The sequence below is a fragment of the Homo sapiens genome, chromosome 16 (assembly GCF_000001405.40).
Source record: "Homo sapiens chromosome 16, GRCh38.p14 Primary Assembly".
NCBI classification, from domain to species: Eukaryota; Metazoa; Chordata; class Mammalia; order Primates; family Hominidae; genus Homo; species Homo sapiens.
Genome location: NC_000016.10, coordinates 31,179,281 through 31,196,292, shown reverse-complemented (window position 1 = coordinate 31,196,292; position 17,012 = coordinate 31,179,281). Strand labels below are relative to the sequence as shown.

The window sequence follows — 17,012 nt, the reverse complement described above, 5'->3', positions numbered from 1 at the left end:
AGCATTAACCACCAACAGAAAGCAGTATTTCTTCCAGCTCCAAACTCCTGCTCATAAACTACATTCTCCAAGTCTGTTCCTGCCTCAAAGATACTGGGAATTTTAGACTCAATGGTCTCCAAAATTTCTTAGAATACCTTGAGATTGAGGATCTAATACTTCGTTTTTTGAGACAGAGTCTCACTTCATTGCCCAGGCTAGAGTGCAGCGGCGCGATCTCGGCTCACCGCAACCTCCGCCTCCTGGGTTCAAGCGATTCTCCTGCCTCAACCTCCCGAGCAGCTGGGACTGCAGGCACCTGCCACCACGCCCAGCTAATTTTTGTATTTTTAGTAGAGTCGGAGTTTCACCATGTTAGCCAGGCTGGTCTCAAACTCCTGGCCTCAGGTGAGGATCCAATATTTCTACAACAAAAAATCCTGGTCAGATGTGCTGGCACAACCCACTTGACAATACTTTCTCAGCTTGTATATGCCAGCGCCACTGAAGATTGTATTTGCATAAGAAGGTGAACACAATTGTAGAAATATTCTTCTAAGTCAAATTATTTCAAAATAGCCAGGTGCAGTAGCACACCTGTAGTCCCAGTCATTCAGGAGCCCGAGGCGGAAGGATCGCTGGGGCCCACTGAGACCAGCCTGGCCAACATGGAGAAACCCCATCTCTACTAAAAATACAAGAGTTAGCTGGGCATGGTGGTGCACACCTGTAATCCCAGCTACCTGGGAGGCTAAGGCAGGAGAATCACTTGAATCTGGAAGGCAGAGGTTGCAGTGAGCCAAGATCCTACCACTGCACTCCAGCCTGGGTGGCAGGGCAAGACTCTGTCTCCAAAAAAGAAAAAAGAAATCTGTACGTCAGAGATGTCTGCACTCCCACCCAATGCAGCGTTATTCACACTAGCCAAGATATGCAAGCAACCCAAGTGCCCAATTAACGGATGGATTTTTAAATGTGGTATGTAGACACAACAGAATGCTATTCAGCTTTTTAAAAGGAAACCGTTATTTGTAACATGGGTGAATCGATAAATCTAGAAGACATTATGCTAAAATAAGCCACAGAAAGACTGCATGAACTTATACACGGAATCTAGAAAGTCAAACTCGGAAACTGAAAGTAGAATGGGGGTTACCAGAGGCTTGGAGGTATGGGTAAGCAGGGAGACAAAGGGTACAACACTTCAGATGCAAGAAATGAGTTCTGGTAAGCCACTGCACAGCATGGTGACTACAGTTCATAAAAACGTGAGACACAGTGGCATGCATCCATAGTCCCAGCTGAGAGGCTAAGGGCAAGAAGATCACTTAAGCCCAGGAGTTCAAGTCCAGCCTGAGCAACATAGGGAGACCCGTTTCAACCCATTTACGCCTAGTGCTCCATTACAGGTGTGACCCACCACACTCGGCCAGAACACACTATTCTTACTGAATGACTGAAGTCAATCATTTTTTGTTTTTATTTTTGGTCTGATTATTCACAAAACATTTGCAACCTCCAGCATAAAAGGGCTGAAATAACATAAATTTCAAAATTTTCTAAGAGTGGCTTTGTATGTTCTCATTCATGCTAATGATATGAAGTGATGGATATATTAGCCTGATTTGATTCCACAATGTGTACATGTACAGAAATAGGACATTGTACCCCATAAATATATACAAGTTAATTAAAAATAAAATTTTCATAGCCGGACACAGTATCTCACACCTTAATCCCAGCACTCTGGGAGGCCAAAGTGGGACAATCACTTGAGCCCAGAGCAGTTTTGAGACCAGACCAGCCTGAGCAACATGGCAAGACCCCATCTCCACAAAAAATACAAAAAAAAATTAGCCAGTCATGGTGGCAGGTGCCTGTAGTCCCGTCCCAGCTACTCCAGAGGCTGAGGTGGGCAGATAGCTTGCGGGTGGGAGGCAGAGGTTGCAGTTGGTCGAGATCACACCACTGCAATCCAGCCTGGGTGAGAGTGAGACCGTCTCAAAAAAAAAAAAAAAATTTAAAAAGGATGAGACTGGAAGGAAGACATGCCTAAAGGTAGATCAGTGAGTCAAGTCTCACATGGGCTGGACCCTAGACCTTAATTCCTGGTCAATCTACCCACCACTGACATAACTGCAGCCCTACATCCAAGTACTGAAACCCAGGAAGGCCCGGCACAAGATGGGGAAAAAAGCTGAAAGGGCTAACTGAAGGCTACATCAAGGAAGGGACAAACAGACCTACAGCACAGCTCTCCCCACCCTCCTCACTTCCTACTTAGCCTGTCCCAATTCCAACTCACAAAAATGGGACACCTAATGCTTCAAGACAGATTTCAATCATTCAGTAAGAATAGAGTATTCTGGCCAAACGCAGTGGGTCACACCTGTGATCCCAGCACTTTGGGAGGCTGAGGCAGGCAGGTCACTTGAGGCCAGTTCAAGACCAGCCTGGGCAACCCAGTGAAACCCTGTTTCTTAAAAAAAAAAAAGTAATTAAAAAAAAAATTACCCAGGTGTGGTAGCGAGGAAGCACCTGTAGTCCCAGCTACTTGGGAGGCTGAGGTGGGAGGTTGGCTTGAGAGGCACCAATGTTCTCTCTGCTGCTAGGTGTCTCTATCCATTCTCCTGGAAGATCCCCCCAAACTGGACCTACCCACTAAACAGTCACCTGGGACCCTATTTCCTTTTAAGGTCAAGGCCAATCACATATGCCATTTGAAGGACACAGGAACTTGACACTAATGGTCCCAGTAATCATATCTTACAAGGAGCTTCGACCTCCTCCACTCCTAACAGGAGGGCATCAGGGGACCACAACCAAAGCAAGATTAGAATCCTGCTAGGCAAAGCACCAACAGTGAACTACTCAAATATCGTATCAGGCCATTTCAACTAAACATTTAACAAAGAAACCAGCAGTGGCAGGGACGGAGAGAACTGCCACATCCTCTACATGTACTAAGTCAAAGCAATGCCTGGGAAGGCCCACTTGACGATCCTTTGTTTTTAATACGCCAGACCACTCTCCGCCTACTGTTGCTTAGAGAGCACCCCAATGCTGGCAGGGGAAGTAAACCTGCTATTCCTCTTAAAAGTCATGGTTTATTGGGAGGCTGAGGTGTGCACATCACCTGAGGTCGGGAGTTCGAGACCAGCCTGACCAACATGGAGAAACCCCGTCTCTACTAAAAATACAAATAAATTAGCTGGGCATGGTGGCGCATGCCTGTAATCCCAGCTATCGCTTGAACCCAGGAGGCGGCAGTTGCGGTAAGCCGAAAAACGTGCCATTGCACTCCAGCCTGGGCAACAAGAGCAAAACTCCATCTCAAAAAATAAAGTCATAGTTTCTGTGCCTCAAATCACCCAAGATTCAAGGATGCAGCAACTCTTCAGTAGAGAACATACTTGTGGAACACTTGAAAATTTGAGAGGATGGCCAGATGCAGCGGCTCATGCCTGTAATTCCAGCACTTTGGGAGGCCAAGGCAGGTGGATCACCTGAGGTCAGGAGTTAAGAGACCAGCCTGGCCAACACAGTGAAACCACACCTCCACTAAAAATGCAAAAACTAGGTGGGCATGGTGGCCCACGCCTGTAGTCTCAGCTACTCAGAAGCTGGGATTCTCCTGAGGCAGGAGAATCGCTTAAACTCAGGAGGCAGAGGCTACAGTGAGCCGAGATCACGCCACTGCACTCCAGCCTGGATGACAGAGCAAGACTCTGTCTCTAAAAATAAAAAATAAAAATTTGAGAGGAAAGCACTTCCCAATTAGGGGTCCCCAGCACATTTGTAAGCTATGCTTGTGATGGCAGCTGTCTTACAAACCAAGTTCGAAAACCCTGTAAATAAAACCTTTCTGCTCTTGGGTTAATGTTACGCTCTGTGTAACTAAAATAAAAAGCATGCTAAATAACTGGTTGGCAGGTACGTGCAAGTTTACAACCACATGGTAAGAGGCTGAGGAGCACTGCTCTAAGGTTTTAACTCATTGGCTGCAACCCCTTCCCCCTCTTATCACTTATCATTCCCTTAGGAGGGCCTTCCACCCTCCAATCAAAAAGGGATCAAGCCTAAAATCTCATAATGTCAATGACCTCAAGCCCTCTGAGTACAGGCAGGATGTGAAAGTAACCCAGCCAGACCAGTCTCCTTATAGCAGGTATCTACCCAAGCGCTGTTCACCAGGGCAGCTAGGAAGGGAGTCACTCACCTCCTAGATCCTGACTCCACTCCACAAACTCCTGCAGCACTCAGTTACTCTCCTTCCTGTGAAAGACCCAGAGTGGCTAAGCGCTCTCCACCATGGTCAAATCTGAATACTGCCCCATTTAAATGTAGTTTGTTTGAGCCTCACCATTAAAAGGGCCAAAAGATCAAAGAGTTCTTAAAAAGGGATAAACTGCTGCAAATAAACTAAGACCAGTATGCAAATAAATGTGGTAAAGGAAAAATTCCCCATAGCTGGGCAAATTTAGGCCAACACTCATGACATCCCATGTTCTTCATTTCTCATTTATACACCAACTTTCCCCATGACAGAAAAGTTTAATCTCTGCTCTCAAGGATATCATTTGGCCTTCTCCCCGAACACTGTATTCCAGTTCCTGCTGGGCAGGGTAATCTGAACAGGAAAACTCTCTACCTTCCTGATCGGGACATCGATCTTCCAGGAAAGTGAAAAGGGGGAAGAGGAACAAAATTTAACTAAAATGGTCACTTTTAATGGGAACCAGAGGTATAGTTACAATTACATAGTCCGACACAAAAAAACCCTTGGGTGATCAGGAATTGGAAGGTTACAAAATAACGAGGGTAACACTGGGTACAGGACAAAAAGCTGTTCCAGAACCTGGGGAGCCAGGCTAATTAATACGGCCTCTCCCTGCGATCCTGTCTGTGCTCACCCCTGCAAAAAAAAAAAAAAAAATTAAGTATCCATTATATTTGAGTTACCAGCCTCTCCAAGCCTAGATATCCTATCTGCCCCTCCTACCTAACCCAGCGAGTATCTTATCTCAAGTGGGTCTACAGATTCACTCCCCCTGAGTTAATTTTCCTTCCCTCTCCACTACTGGTTACAACCTCAGGTCTTTCCACCTAGCCCTCAAAATGAAACCACTTTCTCAACAAAACCCTGTTATCCTATGGCCTCTGTTCAACTGCTCTACTTTTTTATTCTGATTTAAAGTCTTACCTGGAATCCATCTTGCCAGGGCCAAAGCCACCTCTGTCCCCACCACCCCGGCCCCCTCGGAAGCCTCCACGGTCCCCGCCGCGGCCCCGGTAGCCGCCTCGATCATAGCCTCCTCTGCCACCACGACGATCATCCCCGTAGTTACCCCCTAGGACAAAAGAAACAAGATCTATCATATTCCCATTCCCCTATGTTCCCCGAGCCTCCCCGCTGAAAAATTAAGGATTCTTTGGTCCCAGCTCCCTAGCACCAGGTCTGCCTTTCTTACCCATGTGAGAGCCACCTGGTCCCCCTCCTGGGCCATCTGGTTTAGGGGCCTTACACTGGTTGCATTCATTCCTCCAAGAGAAGTTCATATTCTCACAGGTGCTAAGGAGAAAGGAAGACAATCAGTCTGGAGCGATGGGGAATAGGCAAGACCTAGAACTAGGAAGAAACTACGGTGACTTTAGAGATACAGTGAGGAAACTGAAGCTTCAGAAAGACAAAACGGCTTGCTTCTCAGAGTCAGGAACAAAAATCAGTATTACTGAACCCAATCCATTACCTTTCCCATTACATCAACCTTACCTAGGTAAGCTTTTGGCTAAATCTGACCCCAACAGTGTGGCCTTGACATTTACTTCTTTGGAAAACACGCACATACCTCAGTACCAATATATCAAAGAGCACGCATGCAAGAGAACTAAGAAAAAAATTAAGTTTCACTCACGGATTAGGACACTTCCAGTCACCAGCTCGCTGCTGTCCTCCACCGCCACCACCTCCACTGGGAAATCCTCCTCGGCCACCACCACCACTGCCACCACCTCCATAGCCTCCACGGCCCATGGGTCCTAATGCAGATAGACCAAGTATGGGTCTGCTCCCTCTCCAAGTTTGGTAAATCTAACCCATTCCATGCAAGCCTTTACCATCTTCTGCACTCTCCCCATTACCCCTCTGCACCACTAGCAGGTAGCTCCTCACCTCCTCGCCCTCGGCCTCCACGACCATTGCCACCACCCCGATTAAAGTCTGCCCGGCGAGTAGCAAATGAGACCTTGATAGGATTTCCGGAGAATTCTTTACCTAGAGAAACAAAAAATCATCAACAGACTTTAAATGCAAGACACATTAATCCGAAAATACAAGAGAAGCGTGCCTTTCTCAAATGGTTTATAATCTGCTGACACATAAGCAAAAATGAGACTACCTGAAACCGCAGCTAAAGTAAGTGTTGGAAGACTCAAAAGAACCCTCAAACTATGGCTTGTTTCCTAAGGCTTGCTGCCCTATATCCCCAGCCCCACCTCTGCCAGCCTTCTCATACATACCATCAAACCAGTCAATAGCTGCTTTAGCTGAAGGTGGGTCATCAAAAGAGACCGTTGCCTCTCCCTTCAGCTTGCCAGTTTCCCTGTCTGTGTACAAATTAATCATGGGCTGTCCCGTTTTCTTGTTTGTCTGAAGAAAGCAAAATGAGGTAACATCAATTTTAAAGGCTACAGTACTCCCTTTCCATCTTCTTCCTCTAGAACATGAGGTTTATAATTCCCAAACTTCAGCTCCCCTCTTCCCAGTTACTTCTTCCTACCTCACATGTAAACCTCCATTAAAGAAAACTGTCTCTCACTCCAATATTGAAAGATAAAACTAAAAGTTACTATAGAGTACAAATCTCAAGAGTTTAGGGTACTCTGATAAGTTATACTTTTTGTGTTAAGATAGAACTTCTCTTTTAGAAAACAGTAACTAAGGCTCTTTCCTCAACAAATTAAGCTGGCAACAACCACTAAGACTTGTTTTTACTGCTGGCAACCATTAAAGACTTGCTTTTACTAATGTGTGAAATCCACAAGCCTACAACACTGACAGAAAGCTCCCACTCCTCTCCACAAGTACCTTAATAATACCAATCTGCTTGAAGTAATCAGCCACAGACTCAATTGTAACATTCTCACCCAGGCCTTGCACAAAGATGGTGTTGTTGTCTGAATTATCCTGTTCTGCTTGTTGAACAGAGAAAATGCAAATGTGAAAAGGTAAAATAAAAAACACAGGAAAAAACCTAAAGCACCTAGTATCCATCAAGCAACTGGTATCATTTGGTTTATGGAAGACAACTAAAAAGAAATCCACATCCCTTTTGAGTCCCTATATGCCAGCCATGCTGATAAATTTCAGATTCAGTTTGACAATTATCCTTTGAAACATGTTAACACCCAGTATACAGTATGGAAACCAGGGCTCAGGAGTGAAATGCCCAACAAGACCACACAGAAAAGTCCATCAGTATTTATCAACTTTCAGTTGAAGGTCCCCGAATTAAATAAGAAACCCATTTTACATTCAAATCTAGTACACAAACATCAATACAACCTAAACAGGAGTTCAATGCTTTACTTCATGTGGTCAGGTCTTTCACTAGTTTTGTTCACCAACTTGGACATGATCCACATTTTGAAAGAACCACTGCTGTAAACCATCTGAGTGTGGTCCAGACGCATCAGCATCACTGGGGACTTGTTAGAAAGGTAGATTTTCAGGGTCCTCTCAGACCTAAATCACTGGGGGTGGAACCCACAAGCCAGGTATTTCTGAGAAATACTTCGTAACAAATACTTCTCACTGCTAACTAAGGACACACCTAACTCCCTTCCTTCTCTATCCCCATTTTTTTCAGTTTCCTTTTTATAATAGTTTCAAAGAACATCCAGGCAGTCTTGATACCACTTTAGCCACTCTTTTCATGCCACCACGTGTGAACTCACCGGAGTCATGACGTGATCCTTGGTCCCGAGGGCCTTTAGTGACATGGAAAAAAAGAACAAAAAAAAAACAAAAACAAGGAAAAGATGAGCCGTTAGTCAACAGGAAAAAACGGACAAGGAAAAAAATTAACACCAAATCCAAACTTGTAAAATATCAAGTAAGTGCTCACAGCCTCACTCCAAACCCTTTCCTGGGTCGCCTGCCCAGAGGAGAAAATTCTAGGCAGGCCCCTTAAGATCTGTAACTTGAGTCTCCACAGAGACAACTCCACACTTCAGCAAATGCTGCCTCCCCCAGCTCAGGCTGGGAAATGTCCTCAGCACAGGTGGCAGGGGAAACGGAGACCCATTAAAGTGAACAAACCAACTCAGCTTGGCCCGGTTCTCTCACCCGAGAGAAGAGAGATGGGCTCGCCACCAGCCATGCGATGTGCATCCATCCAGTTTCTCCCAACTTTACCACCAGACACTTAACCCTTGTGGAACAATTTTTAATTTCATCTTTAGAAACCATCCTTAAAACCGTGTTGTTTCCCCGAAACCACATGAAAATAAAAACCATACATAATAGCTATTGTATTTTTTAAGCATGTCCCAGGGAACAGACCAGAAATCTTATTTCCGTAATGCAGCCTCTATTTTGTTTTTCCAGAGACCATCTTTGACCAATGTTTATCTGAATTCGCCATATATAAATATTGTACCCACACGCAATGACACCTAAGTCATGAACCCACACCTTTGGCTTTAAATCTTGAAACAAATCAAGAAACCTTTTGTTAACCAAACCAGAAAAGTTCCAGCTTACTGGGAGACTTCTCAAATTTGTCATTTTTCCATGAATTCAGTTTGTGCTGTTTAAGACCTTCCTGGTCCACGAATTCAGTTTGTGCTGTTTAAGACCTGGTTATTTCCCATGAGCCACACATGCTTCCAATCTTTCTTGAAGTAGTGCACATGTTCCTTCCCAGAGCTAGTTTCTATTTGCCCATCTCAGTTAAGTCCATATACATAGAATTGCATTCATTGACACCATTCCGTACTTTATAAATGTATACCAACTTCACCATCCTCAGGGCAATGTTACATCCCTCTTCCAGAATTAAACATTCGGAGTTGTCTCCCACACACTCACACACACACAAGCCTTGGACACAACGATCAAAAGGATCCTAAAGCCAAGATGGCACCACGTGTTCCAGCACGCACTCTCCAGTTTCTCATGATGATGGTCACTAAGTGCCAGGTGTGGCAACGGCCCAGTCCAAGGCCTACTAGACCCCTCTTATTAACCTGGGGCAAACCCATTTGGTAAAAGATGACTATTGAGTCTTACCCCTACCTGCTCCAGGTTAGCACACACCAGGCAACAGGTGGCATTCTACCCTACCCCTTTCTGGAGGTGGTTCTGGACACCTCAAAACCTTTGACATTTAAATTAACACGCTAAGACATCTGCAAATGAACAATCAGACAAAGCATTGCTGGGAGTTGGGAATTTTGGAAACTCTGTTCACTTACCACCAAATTTATTGAAGCCACCACGGTCACTTCCGCTGGAGAAGACAAGTTAGAAGAAAGGACATGAAGCTTCCAACGGCTACAAAAGGTTGTTTTTTGATTTTGTTTAACATTCCCCAAACATGGGTAGGTGTTTTTGGAAAAAGATACAAGTGGCTACTAAAATACATCCCTTCCTGACCACCCCTTGTCTGACCTTTGAGCATGTCACACACACGTGTGCAATTTCTCAGACACAGTTTATAAAGATTTTGCTTTAAAAGGTTACGTTATCTATTTCCTCTGGAAAAAAAATAACCCATTTTCCTTGGTCGTTCTTCCGATGGAGCAGATGTTTTTTTTTCCTCTTGTCGCAAGTGGTTGACAACCAAGTAGTTGGTTTAAAAACCCTACCCCAATTTACCCAGAAGACATTTCACACCAGGCTGGGGTAGCCTTGAACACATTTTTGTGGTTTTTGCTTTGAAAGCAGCAAGCAGACCCAACCCCATTCCATAAAAAGTCAAAACCAAAGGCAACTTCCCCTTAAAGCAAGACAAACTTAGCTAAGCTCTGTCCTAACTACTGAGCTGTTTTTGATCTCCCCCAACCCCCGGGGTCACCCCTTCTACACTGCGAGAAGAGCGGAGTATTTTGCAATGTCACCTTTCATACCTGTGGCACATAAAATGCAGAGCAAGTTAACAGTCACATAACAGTTGTTTTTCTTTTTAAAGTTTTGCATTAAACACACGCACACATTTCCTCATTTTTGTTTTCCTCATTTTTGCACGTTTTTGAGATTGCCCCCACCCACCTCTGCATACTTACCATTTCCAAACTCGGTTTAAAAATCTACTTTTTCCAAAAACAGTAACACTGACATTCCTCCCCTTTTTCAAGGGAGACAGAGTAGGGTCCTTCAAATCTTATTTACCAACAGATTTGACAACTGTTTTAACATCAAATCTAAGGTTTTACTTCAAATCAACTTCAGCAGGAAGGAAAGAAGGTCCAGTTGGACAAGCTGATGAATTTTAAGTAACCAGGGGAAGGCAGACAGTGGAACAAATAGGTGGGAGACCACTGTCAAAGCATATTTTTGCCCAAAAGGTCTGCTTACTTCAGTCAGCTGGCCCCATAAACCAAGTCACACACAAAATCAATGTCGGTCAAATTAGTGCAAATCAAGCTCGTGGATTCAAATGACTATAGAAAACGGGAAGAGTAGCCAATTCCTGGAAGCTGAAGTCAGGTTAACCATTACCAACTCCCTAGAGGACACATGGGAATACACATACCAAGTTTCCCTACTATTTCCCAGGAGTGGGATCATCGGTTTCCCTTGCAGAGAAAGAAGTCTTCACTTCCATGTTTCTTGCCTAGGATATTAATGACTCCAATCCATACGTATCTATGTATGGTTTCTTTTTTTTTGGAAACAAGTATCATTACTCAAAATCTCTATTCAGTGGTATGGATGGGAGTTCAGGCTCCCAAGTTCTCACAAAAATAAAATGGGGATGTAAAAAGAAAGTCACTGCCCCCAAATCAAAGCCCTCACAGATCCCTAGACAACAAGAATACTAAACCATGCACTAGGGACTGGCTTCAGGGAGATTCATGCAATCCTCCACACTCCCCACCAAAGATACTCCCTGGCTCATGAGACACCTACCCCATGCCACCTCTGCCTCCACGGCCACCTCCACGACCTCTGGGTTCATAGCCACCACTGCTGCGGTTGTAACCACCACCGCCGCCGCCGCCGCCGCCACCACTGCCACCCCTGCCGCGGCCTCCACGGTCCTGCTGTCCATAGCCACCGCTGCCACCTCCACCACTCTGGTCTTGATTGCCATAACCGCCACCACTGCCACCACCACTACTCATGGAGGATTGATCTTGGCCATAGTTACCTGTGAGAAAAGAAAGAATGATTAAAAAAAAAAAACAAAAAGATTGTAAAGTAGCACTAAAAGGTTTGAAAAGGTTTGACAAGTGCCAGGCAATGAAGGACAAAAGAAAGTAAAAAGACAGCTAGGAAACAAGACAGGAACCCTCTTTTAAGCTAAAACAGGAGAATACAAATCCTTATAGAAAATGGGCTGCAGACACCAGGCACAGTGGCTCACGCCTGTAATCCCAGCACTTTGGGAGGCCAAGGCGGGCGGATCACAAGGTCAGGAGATCGAAACCATCCTGGCTAACATGGTGAAACCCCGTCTCTACTAAAAATACAAAAAATTAGCCGGGCGTGGTGGCGGATGCCTGTAGTCCCAGCTACTCGGGAGGCTGAGGCAGGAGACTGGCGCGAACCCGGAAGGCGGAGCTTGCAGTGAGCCGAGATTGTGCCACTGCACTCCAGCCTCAGCAACAGAGACAGAGCAAGACTCCGTCTCAAAAAAAAAAAAAAAAAGAAAAAGAAAATGGGCTGCAGACAAAGCTGAAGACATCTCACCTCCACCTCCACCTCCACCTCCACCACCACTGCTGCTGTTGTACTGGTTCTGCTGTCCATAGCCCTGAGGGGGATTATAGCTTTGCTGCTGTCCATAGCTTTGCTGCTGTCCACCATAGCTAGGCTGCTGGCTGTAGCTCCCACTCTGGGGCTGCCCATAGCTGCTGCTCTGAGAACTGCTACCGTAACTAGGGAAAACAAACAAAAAACACAATCACAATCCCAGCATAGCCCCCAATTTCCTTTCACTTTTAGTGGAGTCCATTCTCTGTACCCAACACAGGCTCCCCTACCCCAATTACACCTCTGAACTGCTCCTACTGCTGGTCCCTTTATCATTCCTCATCAATTCACCCCTCTTTTCAAGCCTTCCCCGACATCAACACCACCGTACCTTCCCGAGGTGCTGCTGGGAGCTGGCTGCTGGCCATAGCCAGGGTAGGAGGACTGCTGCCCGTAAGACGATTGGGAGCTCTGGCTACTGCCATAGCCGCCAGTCGAGCCATATCCCTGGGGAGTTGACTGAGTTCCATAGCCTGCTACCAGGATAAGAAAAAGGGAGTCACAAAAGCCACCAGGAAAGAGAAAATGTAAGGAATGGGTTAAAGAAAACATAATACCTATACTCATAAAGCCAGCCTCTCAGAAGCTGTTAGTGATGTTGCAACTCATAGGCAAAGATAGTTACCCTCCTTTCAAAGCCTAAATTTAATGCTTCAACTTCTACCAACTCTTTAGTACAGTTCCAATTTCACCCCGCCAATCCCAACACCATCTCCAGCACCACCCTCTAAACCCAGGCCCAAGGATCCCTGTTAACAGCACTGTAATATGCAGCTGTGCGTGCAGTATCTACAGGACAACCACCTTTCTTAGTTACACTTCAGGACCTTGGGGCAAATCCCACCTCCTTATGTATCACATGATTTCATACATTTTCAAACAAAACCATTTTCTCCATTTCAGAATTGGCCTAAAACTGGTTCTTCCTTTAGAAAATATGCTCTCTTTCATGCTGATGGAAAATAAGAAGAGTCAAAAAAATTAAAAGCCAAAGAAAATAAATGGAAACAGAATCACAAACCAATAAACATTTTTGTTTTTTGTTTTTTTTTTTATGTTTTTGAGATGGGGCCTCAACACACTGCCCAGGCTGGAATGCAGTGGCTGTTCACAGGCACCATCATAGCTCACTGCAGCCCCAAACTCCTGAATTCAAGGGATCCTCCCGCCTCAGCCTCCTCAGTAGCTGGGACTACAGGTGTGCCACAATGCCCTGTAAAGGACTCAGATCCCAAAAAGTTTTAAGACTTATACACTGTTTCACGGAAAAGAAATATGGAACAGTTTCAACATCTCAGTGCTGCTCAGGTTTAAGAAAAGCAACATTCAGGGCATTGTGGCTGACGCCTGTAATCCCAGCACTTTGGCAGGTCAAGGCAGGCAGGAGGTCAGGAGTTCCAGACCAGCCTGTCCAACACGGTGAAACCCCATCTCTACTAAAAACACAAAATTAGCCAGGCGTGGTAGCAGGTACCTGTAATCCCAGCTACTCAGGAGGCTGAGGCAGGAGAATCGTTTGAACCCGGTAGGCTGATGTTGCAGTGAGCTGAGACAGCACCACTGCACTCCAGCCTGGGCAACAGGACCAGACTCCGTCTCCAAAAAACAAGAAAAAGAAAAGCAATATTCAGAAAGAGTAGGAAGAGGTGACCCGCTGAGAAAGACTCACTGTTCTGGCTCTGGCCATAAGAAGAATAGCTGCTCTGGCCATAGCCTGAAGTGTCCGTGGACTGGCTATAACCACTGTAACTCTGCTGTCCGTAGGGCTGACTGCTCTGCTGGGAATAGCCCTGCCCGGGCTGGGTGGGGTAGGCCCCATAGCTAAATAAAAGGAAAACCAGCGTGATCAGAAAACATGGCGTGACCACCCTTGCCCTCTACAAACTCTGGAAGCCCAAAAATAGCACTCACCTTTGGGTTGCTTGTTGGGTATAATCTGCAAAAGAAAAATACAATCACATTATCTTCAGCTGCCACTCTGAAAGAGTTGAATTAAAGCTAAATTCCTTAACTCAAGCACTGATGAATAAAAAGGACCACGTAGGCCAGGCACGGTGGATCATGCCTGTAATCCCAGCAGTTTGGGAGGCCGAGGTGGGTGGATCACTTGAGGTCAGGAATTCGAGACTGGCCTGACCAACATGGTGAAGCCCCATCTCTAATAAAAATACAAAAAATTAGCCGGGCATGGTGGCGCACGCCTGTAATCCCAGCTACTCGGGAGGTGAAGCAGGAGAATCGCTTGAACCCGGGAGGCAGAGGTTGCAGTGAGCCATTGCACTCCAGCCTGGCAACAGAGCAAGACTCCATCTCAAAAAAAAAAATAAAAATAGGACCATGTTGCAACAAAGGGCATAAAATTCCTCCATGAGACACTGGTTGAGAAGAGGAACAAACTGGCGTTATCAGCCAAGTGTTCTTACAATAAAGAAAAAGTGAAGAAAATGCAAGTTTCTACAGAGTCCCAGAAGCCTTAACCATTGGAAAAACCAAGGTCTTGGTGGACATCCACAATTTTCTGCAAGCCCAATTCATGTCAGTGATTGCTCTAAAACATCGCGCATTCGTTTCATCCACTCTATGAGAAAGCCATTATCGCCAGGAGTCAAGAGACTAACTCTCCCAACGTCGCAGAACTACCAAAGTGGCACAGGTTTGAATTCGAACAGTGTTCAGATTGTGGCCTCTGCTCTCTCAGCCCAGACCCACAGAATAAGAAAGTCTCAAAAAAGGCCATTCTTCACTCTTTGACCAATCCCGGAGATGAAGTGGGCTTTTTAGTGCAAAGCCAGAGAATCAAAAGAGCCCTTGGACCCCAAATGACAGAGATCATGCAACTGCTCGCCTTAGGAGGCGAAAGTCAACAGGTACTCGAGTCCCCAGCCCTGGGACTCCAGATGGTTCCGTTTTCTCACCTACCCTGCCTTCCCCCAGCGAACAAAAAGCAACAAAAGCGCTTTTGAAAAGCCCCACTTAAGATACACGAACAAGATCAACTCATCCTCCCAGCACAGGAAACGCGGCGCTTCCCCCGCAGGAAAAGGGAAAGAGGACCAGGAGAGGGTGTGGCCTCGGGCGGCCGTTCTTCTCCGTCCCTATCTCAGAAAAAAGAAATTTAGACCAGGCGTGGTTGGCTTACGTCTGTAATCCCGACACTTCGGGAGGCCCAGGCGGGCGGATCACCTGAGGTCAGCAGTTCGAGACCAGCCTGACCAACATGGTGAAACCCCGCCCCTACTAAGAAACACAAAAATTAGCCGGGCTGTGGTGGCGGGCGCCTATAATCCCAACTACTCAGGAGGCTGAGGCAGAAGAATCACTTGAACCCAGGAGGTGGACGTTGCAGTGATCTGAGATCGCACCACTGCACTCCAGCCTGGGCGACAGAGGAAGACCGTGTCTCCAAAAAAAAAAAGAAAGAAATTTAGGCGGGAAAAACTCTCGGGCCGTCCCCAAGTCCGTTGGTCGAACCCTGACCACCGCCGCCAAACCGTTAAGCTAGAGGGCGGCCCCGATCCCGAGCCTCCGCCCCCAGCCGCGTGGCAACCCAGGCGGGAACGGAGCGATCCCGCCCATTCGCGAAGGACCACTGAGGGACAAGGCTCACACCGGACGCGCGCCGCCGAGTCTTCCGCGAAGGGTCTCGCGACAGAAAGCTGAACCAACACGAGGCGGGGAAGGGGTACCCGCGCCGCGAAGGGGGAGGGGCCCGCAGAGCGCGTGCGCGCCGCGAGTGCCCGGATGCAGCACTGCGACAAAGCGGGCTCGAGCGCGGGGCCGGGAGTTGGGGGAGGCGAGGCCACGGAGAATGGGCGTTTTCCACCCTCACCTGACGCTTCAAACCCCTAAGAAGCGTCCCTCCCAACGCCCACCCCAAGCAAACGGACTGCAAAGAAAAGACTTCCCGCCCCGCGCGCGAGGGCCAGAGGAGCGAAACAAAATGGCGACACCAGCCTCCTCCAGTTACTCTTCTCCGCGGCTTCCCGCCACAGGGGCGCCAAAAAATCCCACACGGGATCGCCGCCCCGGTCCCACTGAAAACGAAAAGCCCAGCTGGGAGGCCTCGGCCGGGTGCGCCGCCGCCGTCGCCTCGCGCCCTTACCTACCGTTTGAGGCCATGTCCGCGCACGCGCGCACAGGCAAGCAAGCAACGAAGTTCCAACACCGCTGAGTACCGACGCCTGGAGGACTGAGCAGCCCCGCCTCCTGCGTCGAAGCTTAAGTACGCTCCGCCGCCTACGCACCGCGCAGGCGCGCACCAAACGCGGAAGAGCAGGGGGAGGCAGGAACGCACTCCGCCCCCTTCGTAGGGCAGGTAGAGGGTCCGAGCAGGCAGAAGGGAAACAAGTTAACTAGAATCATGCGAATACTATACATAATCATATTTTTTGAGGAAGAACCCCTCTCTCCTCGGCAGGACTAGCCCACGATCTATCTCCACCCCCATGAAGGCACAGTGGTACGGCCTGAGTGCCCGCTGGGGGCGGGGCGAGGGGGCGGTCCCGGCGGCTGGGGACGAAACTGGAGTCACAGCCGGGAGTAGCGGGGTGGAACCGAGATTCCTGTGGCCGGGCCCCTTCGCTGGGCCCCGCTTTCACCCAGGATGGCGAGCTCCTGCCCTCCACCCTCTTGCCGCTGTATGGGGCGCCTCGTCCCCGCGGCTCCAGCCTCCCTCGTCGGCAGCACACTGGCCCTCCCTCTCCTGCGCCCTGAGGTTGACTTCGTCGTCTTTCAGGGTTGCCTTGCCTTTCGGCCTTTCTGGGGTTCGGGGATTATGACGTTTGACCTGAAAGACAGCAGGGATTTCGGCCGGGACCCCTGGGCCCCGGGCTCGTCCAGCACTGGGCTCTCACCCGGATCCTCATGGCTTTGCCCCTGGGGAGCCACGGGGCGGAACAGCCCAGGCCATCCTTGGGACCAGAGAGGGTTGACCTCAGATGTACGGTACCCAGCCTTTTCTCAGGGACCTCCTTTTTATTTTTCTGAAGCCCTACCAGGGCGATCCCAGAAATAAAACGTGTACAAGGCTTAAGTGGTTTCAAAATGCACAGAT

At 47.6% G+C, this 17,012-nt stretch overlaps 1 protein-coding gene across 7 annotated transcripts, besides 12 other annotated features; it reads right to left on the bottom strand.

Moving 5' to 3' along the window:
• Positions 1,422–16,183, bottom strand: FUS (FUS RNA binding protein). Of its 7 annotated transcripts, none has more exons than XM_011545781.2 (15): positions 16,066–16,183; positions 13,871–13,895; positions 13,629–13,780; positions 12,291–12,435; positions 11,903–12,084; positions 11,114–11,354; positions 9,457–9,491; positions 7,936–7,968; positions 7,067–7,170; positions 6,499–6,628; positions 6,152–6,253; positions 5,895–6,018; positions 5,451–5,551; positions 5,183–5,330; positions 1,422–4,894 (listed from the first exon to the last, which is right to left on the bottom strand). In XM_011545781.2, exons 1-15 carry the CDS (start codon positions 16,076–16,078, stop codon positions 4,855–4,857), a joined length of 1,575 nt encoding a protein of 524 aa, XP_011544083.1. In that variant the 5' UTR covers positions 16,079–16,183; the 3' UTR covers positions 1,422–4,854. The 7 variants fall into 7 exon arrangements, 6 of the variants coding, with proteins under 6 accessions (XP_011544083.1, NP_001164408.1, NP_001164105.1 ...); NM_001170937.1 differs by having other exon boundaries at positions 11,909–12,084; NM_001170634.1 differs by having other exon boundaries at positions 11,897–12,084; positions 12,291–12,432.
• Positions 13,512–14,012: an enhancer, noted in NCBI's record as "H3K4me1 hESC enhancer chr16:31193602-31194102 (GRCh37/hg19 assembly coordinates)". NCBI's record gives its function as "activates a minimal SCP1, AML or CMV promoter by ChIP-STARR-seq in primed H9 embryonic stem cells {active_cell/tissue: H9 hESC(primed)}" and the evidence as "EXISTENCE:reporter gene assay evidence [ECO:0000049][PMID:30033119]".
• Positions 14,634–15,394: an enhancer, noted in NCBI's record as "NANOG-H3K27ac-H3K4me1 hESC enhancer chr16:31192220-31192980 (GRCh37/hg19 assembly coordinates)". NCBI's record gives its function as "activates a minimal SCP1, AML or CMV promoter by ChIP-STARR-seq in naive H9 embryonic stem cells {active_cell/tissue: H9 hESC(naive)}" and the evidence as "EXISTENCE:reporter gene assay evidence [ECO:0000049][PMID:30033119]".
• Positions 14,779–14,868: an enhancer, noted in NCBI's record as "active region_10756". NCBI's record gives its function as "activates an Ori minimal core promoter by ATAC-STARR-seq in GM12878 lymphoblastoid cells {active_cell/tissue: GM12878}" and the evidence as "EXISTENCE:reporter gene assay evidence [ECO:0000049][PMID:35858748]".
• Positions 14,879–14,928: an enhancer, noted in NCBI's record as "active region_10755". NCBI's record gives its function as "activates an Ori minimal core promoter by ATAC-STARR-seq in GM12878 lymphoblastoid cells {active_cell/tissue: GM12878}" and the evidence as "EXISTENCE:reporter gene assay evidence [ECO:0000049][PMID:35858748]".
• Positions 15,029–15,088: an enhancer, noted in NCBI's record as "active region_10754". NCBI's record gives its function as "activates an Ori minimal core promoter by ATAC-STARR-seq in GM12878 lymphoblastoid cells {active_cell/tissue: GM12878}" and the evidence as "EXISTENCE:reporter gene assay evidence [ECO:0000049][PMID:35858748]".
• Positions 15,119–15,208: an enhancer, noted in NCBI's record as "active region_10753". NCBI's record gives its function as "activates an Ori minimal core promoter by ATAC-STARR-seq in GM12878 lymphoblastoid cells {active_cell/tissue: GM12878}" and the evidence as "EXISTENCE:reporter gene assay evidence [ECO:0000049][PMID:35858748]".
• Positions 15,395–16,156: an enhancer, noted in NCBI's record as "NANOG-H3K27ac-H3K4me1 hESC enhancer chr16:31191458-31192219 (GRCh37/hg19 assembly coordinates)". NCBI's record gives its function as "activates a minimal SCP1, AML or CMV promoter by ChIP-STARR-seq in primed H9 embryonic stem cells {active_cell/tissue: H9 hESC(primed)}" and the evidence as "EXISTENCE:reporter gene assay evidence [ECO:0000049][PMID:30033119]".
• Positions 15,439–15,488: a silencer, noted in NCBI's record as "silent region_7415". NCBI's record gives its function as "represses an Ori minimal core promoter by ATAC-STARR-seq in GM12878 lymphoblastoid cells {active_cell/tissue: GM12878}" and the evidence as "EXISTENCE:reporter gene assay evidence [ECO:0000049][PMID:35858748]".
• Positions 15,609–15,758: a silencer, noted in NCBI's record as "silent region_7414". NCBI's record gives its function as "represses an Ori minimal core promoter by ATAC-STARR-seq in GM12878 lymphoblastoid cells {active_cell/tissue: GM12878}" and the evidence as "EXISTENCE:reporter gene assay evidence [ECO:0000049][PMID:35858748]".
• Positions 16,157–16,917: an enhancer, noted in NCBI's record as "NANOG-H3K27ac-H3K4me1 hESC enhancer chr16:31190697-31191457 (GRCh37/hg19 assembly coordinates)". NCBI's record gives its function as "activates a minimal SCP1, AML or CMV promoter by ChIP-STARR-seq in primed H9 embryonic stem cells {active_cell/tissue: H9 hESC(primed)}" and the evidence as "EXISTENCE:reporter gene assay evidence [ECO:0000049][PMID:30033119]".
• Positions 16,399–16,468: a silencer, noted in NCBI's record as "silent region_7413". NCBI's record gives its function as "represses an Ori minimal core promoter by ATAC-STARR-seq in GM12878 lymphoblastoid cells {active_cell/tissue: GM12878}" and the evidence as "EXISTENCE:reporter gene assay evidence [ECO:0000049][PMID:35858748]".
• Positions 16,629–16,698: an enhancer, noted in NCBI's record as "active region_10752". NCBI's record gives its function as "activates an Ori minimal core promoter by ATAC-STARR-seq in GM12878 lymphoblastoid cells {active_cell/tissue: GM12878}" and the evidence as "EXISTENCE:reporter gene assay evidence [ECO:0000049][PMID:35858748]".

What these genes read in the sequence shown, in the direction of transcription:
- FUS (NM_004960.4), bottom strand. An exon ending in AGCAGATTGGTATTATTAAG is followed by an intron (nt 6,629 to 7,066) that starts GTACTTGTGGAG and finishes TGCTTTCTTCAG; the next exon opens with ACAAACAAGAAAACGGGACA. An exon ending in AGCTATTGACTGGTTTGATG is followed by an intron (nt 6,254 to 6,498) that starts GTATGTATGAGA and finishes TTGTTTCTCTAG; the next exon opens with GTAAAGAATTCTCCGGAAAT.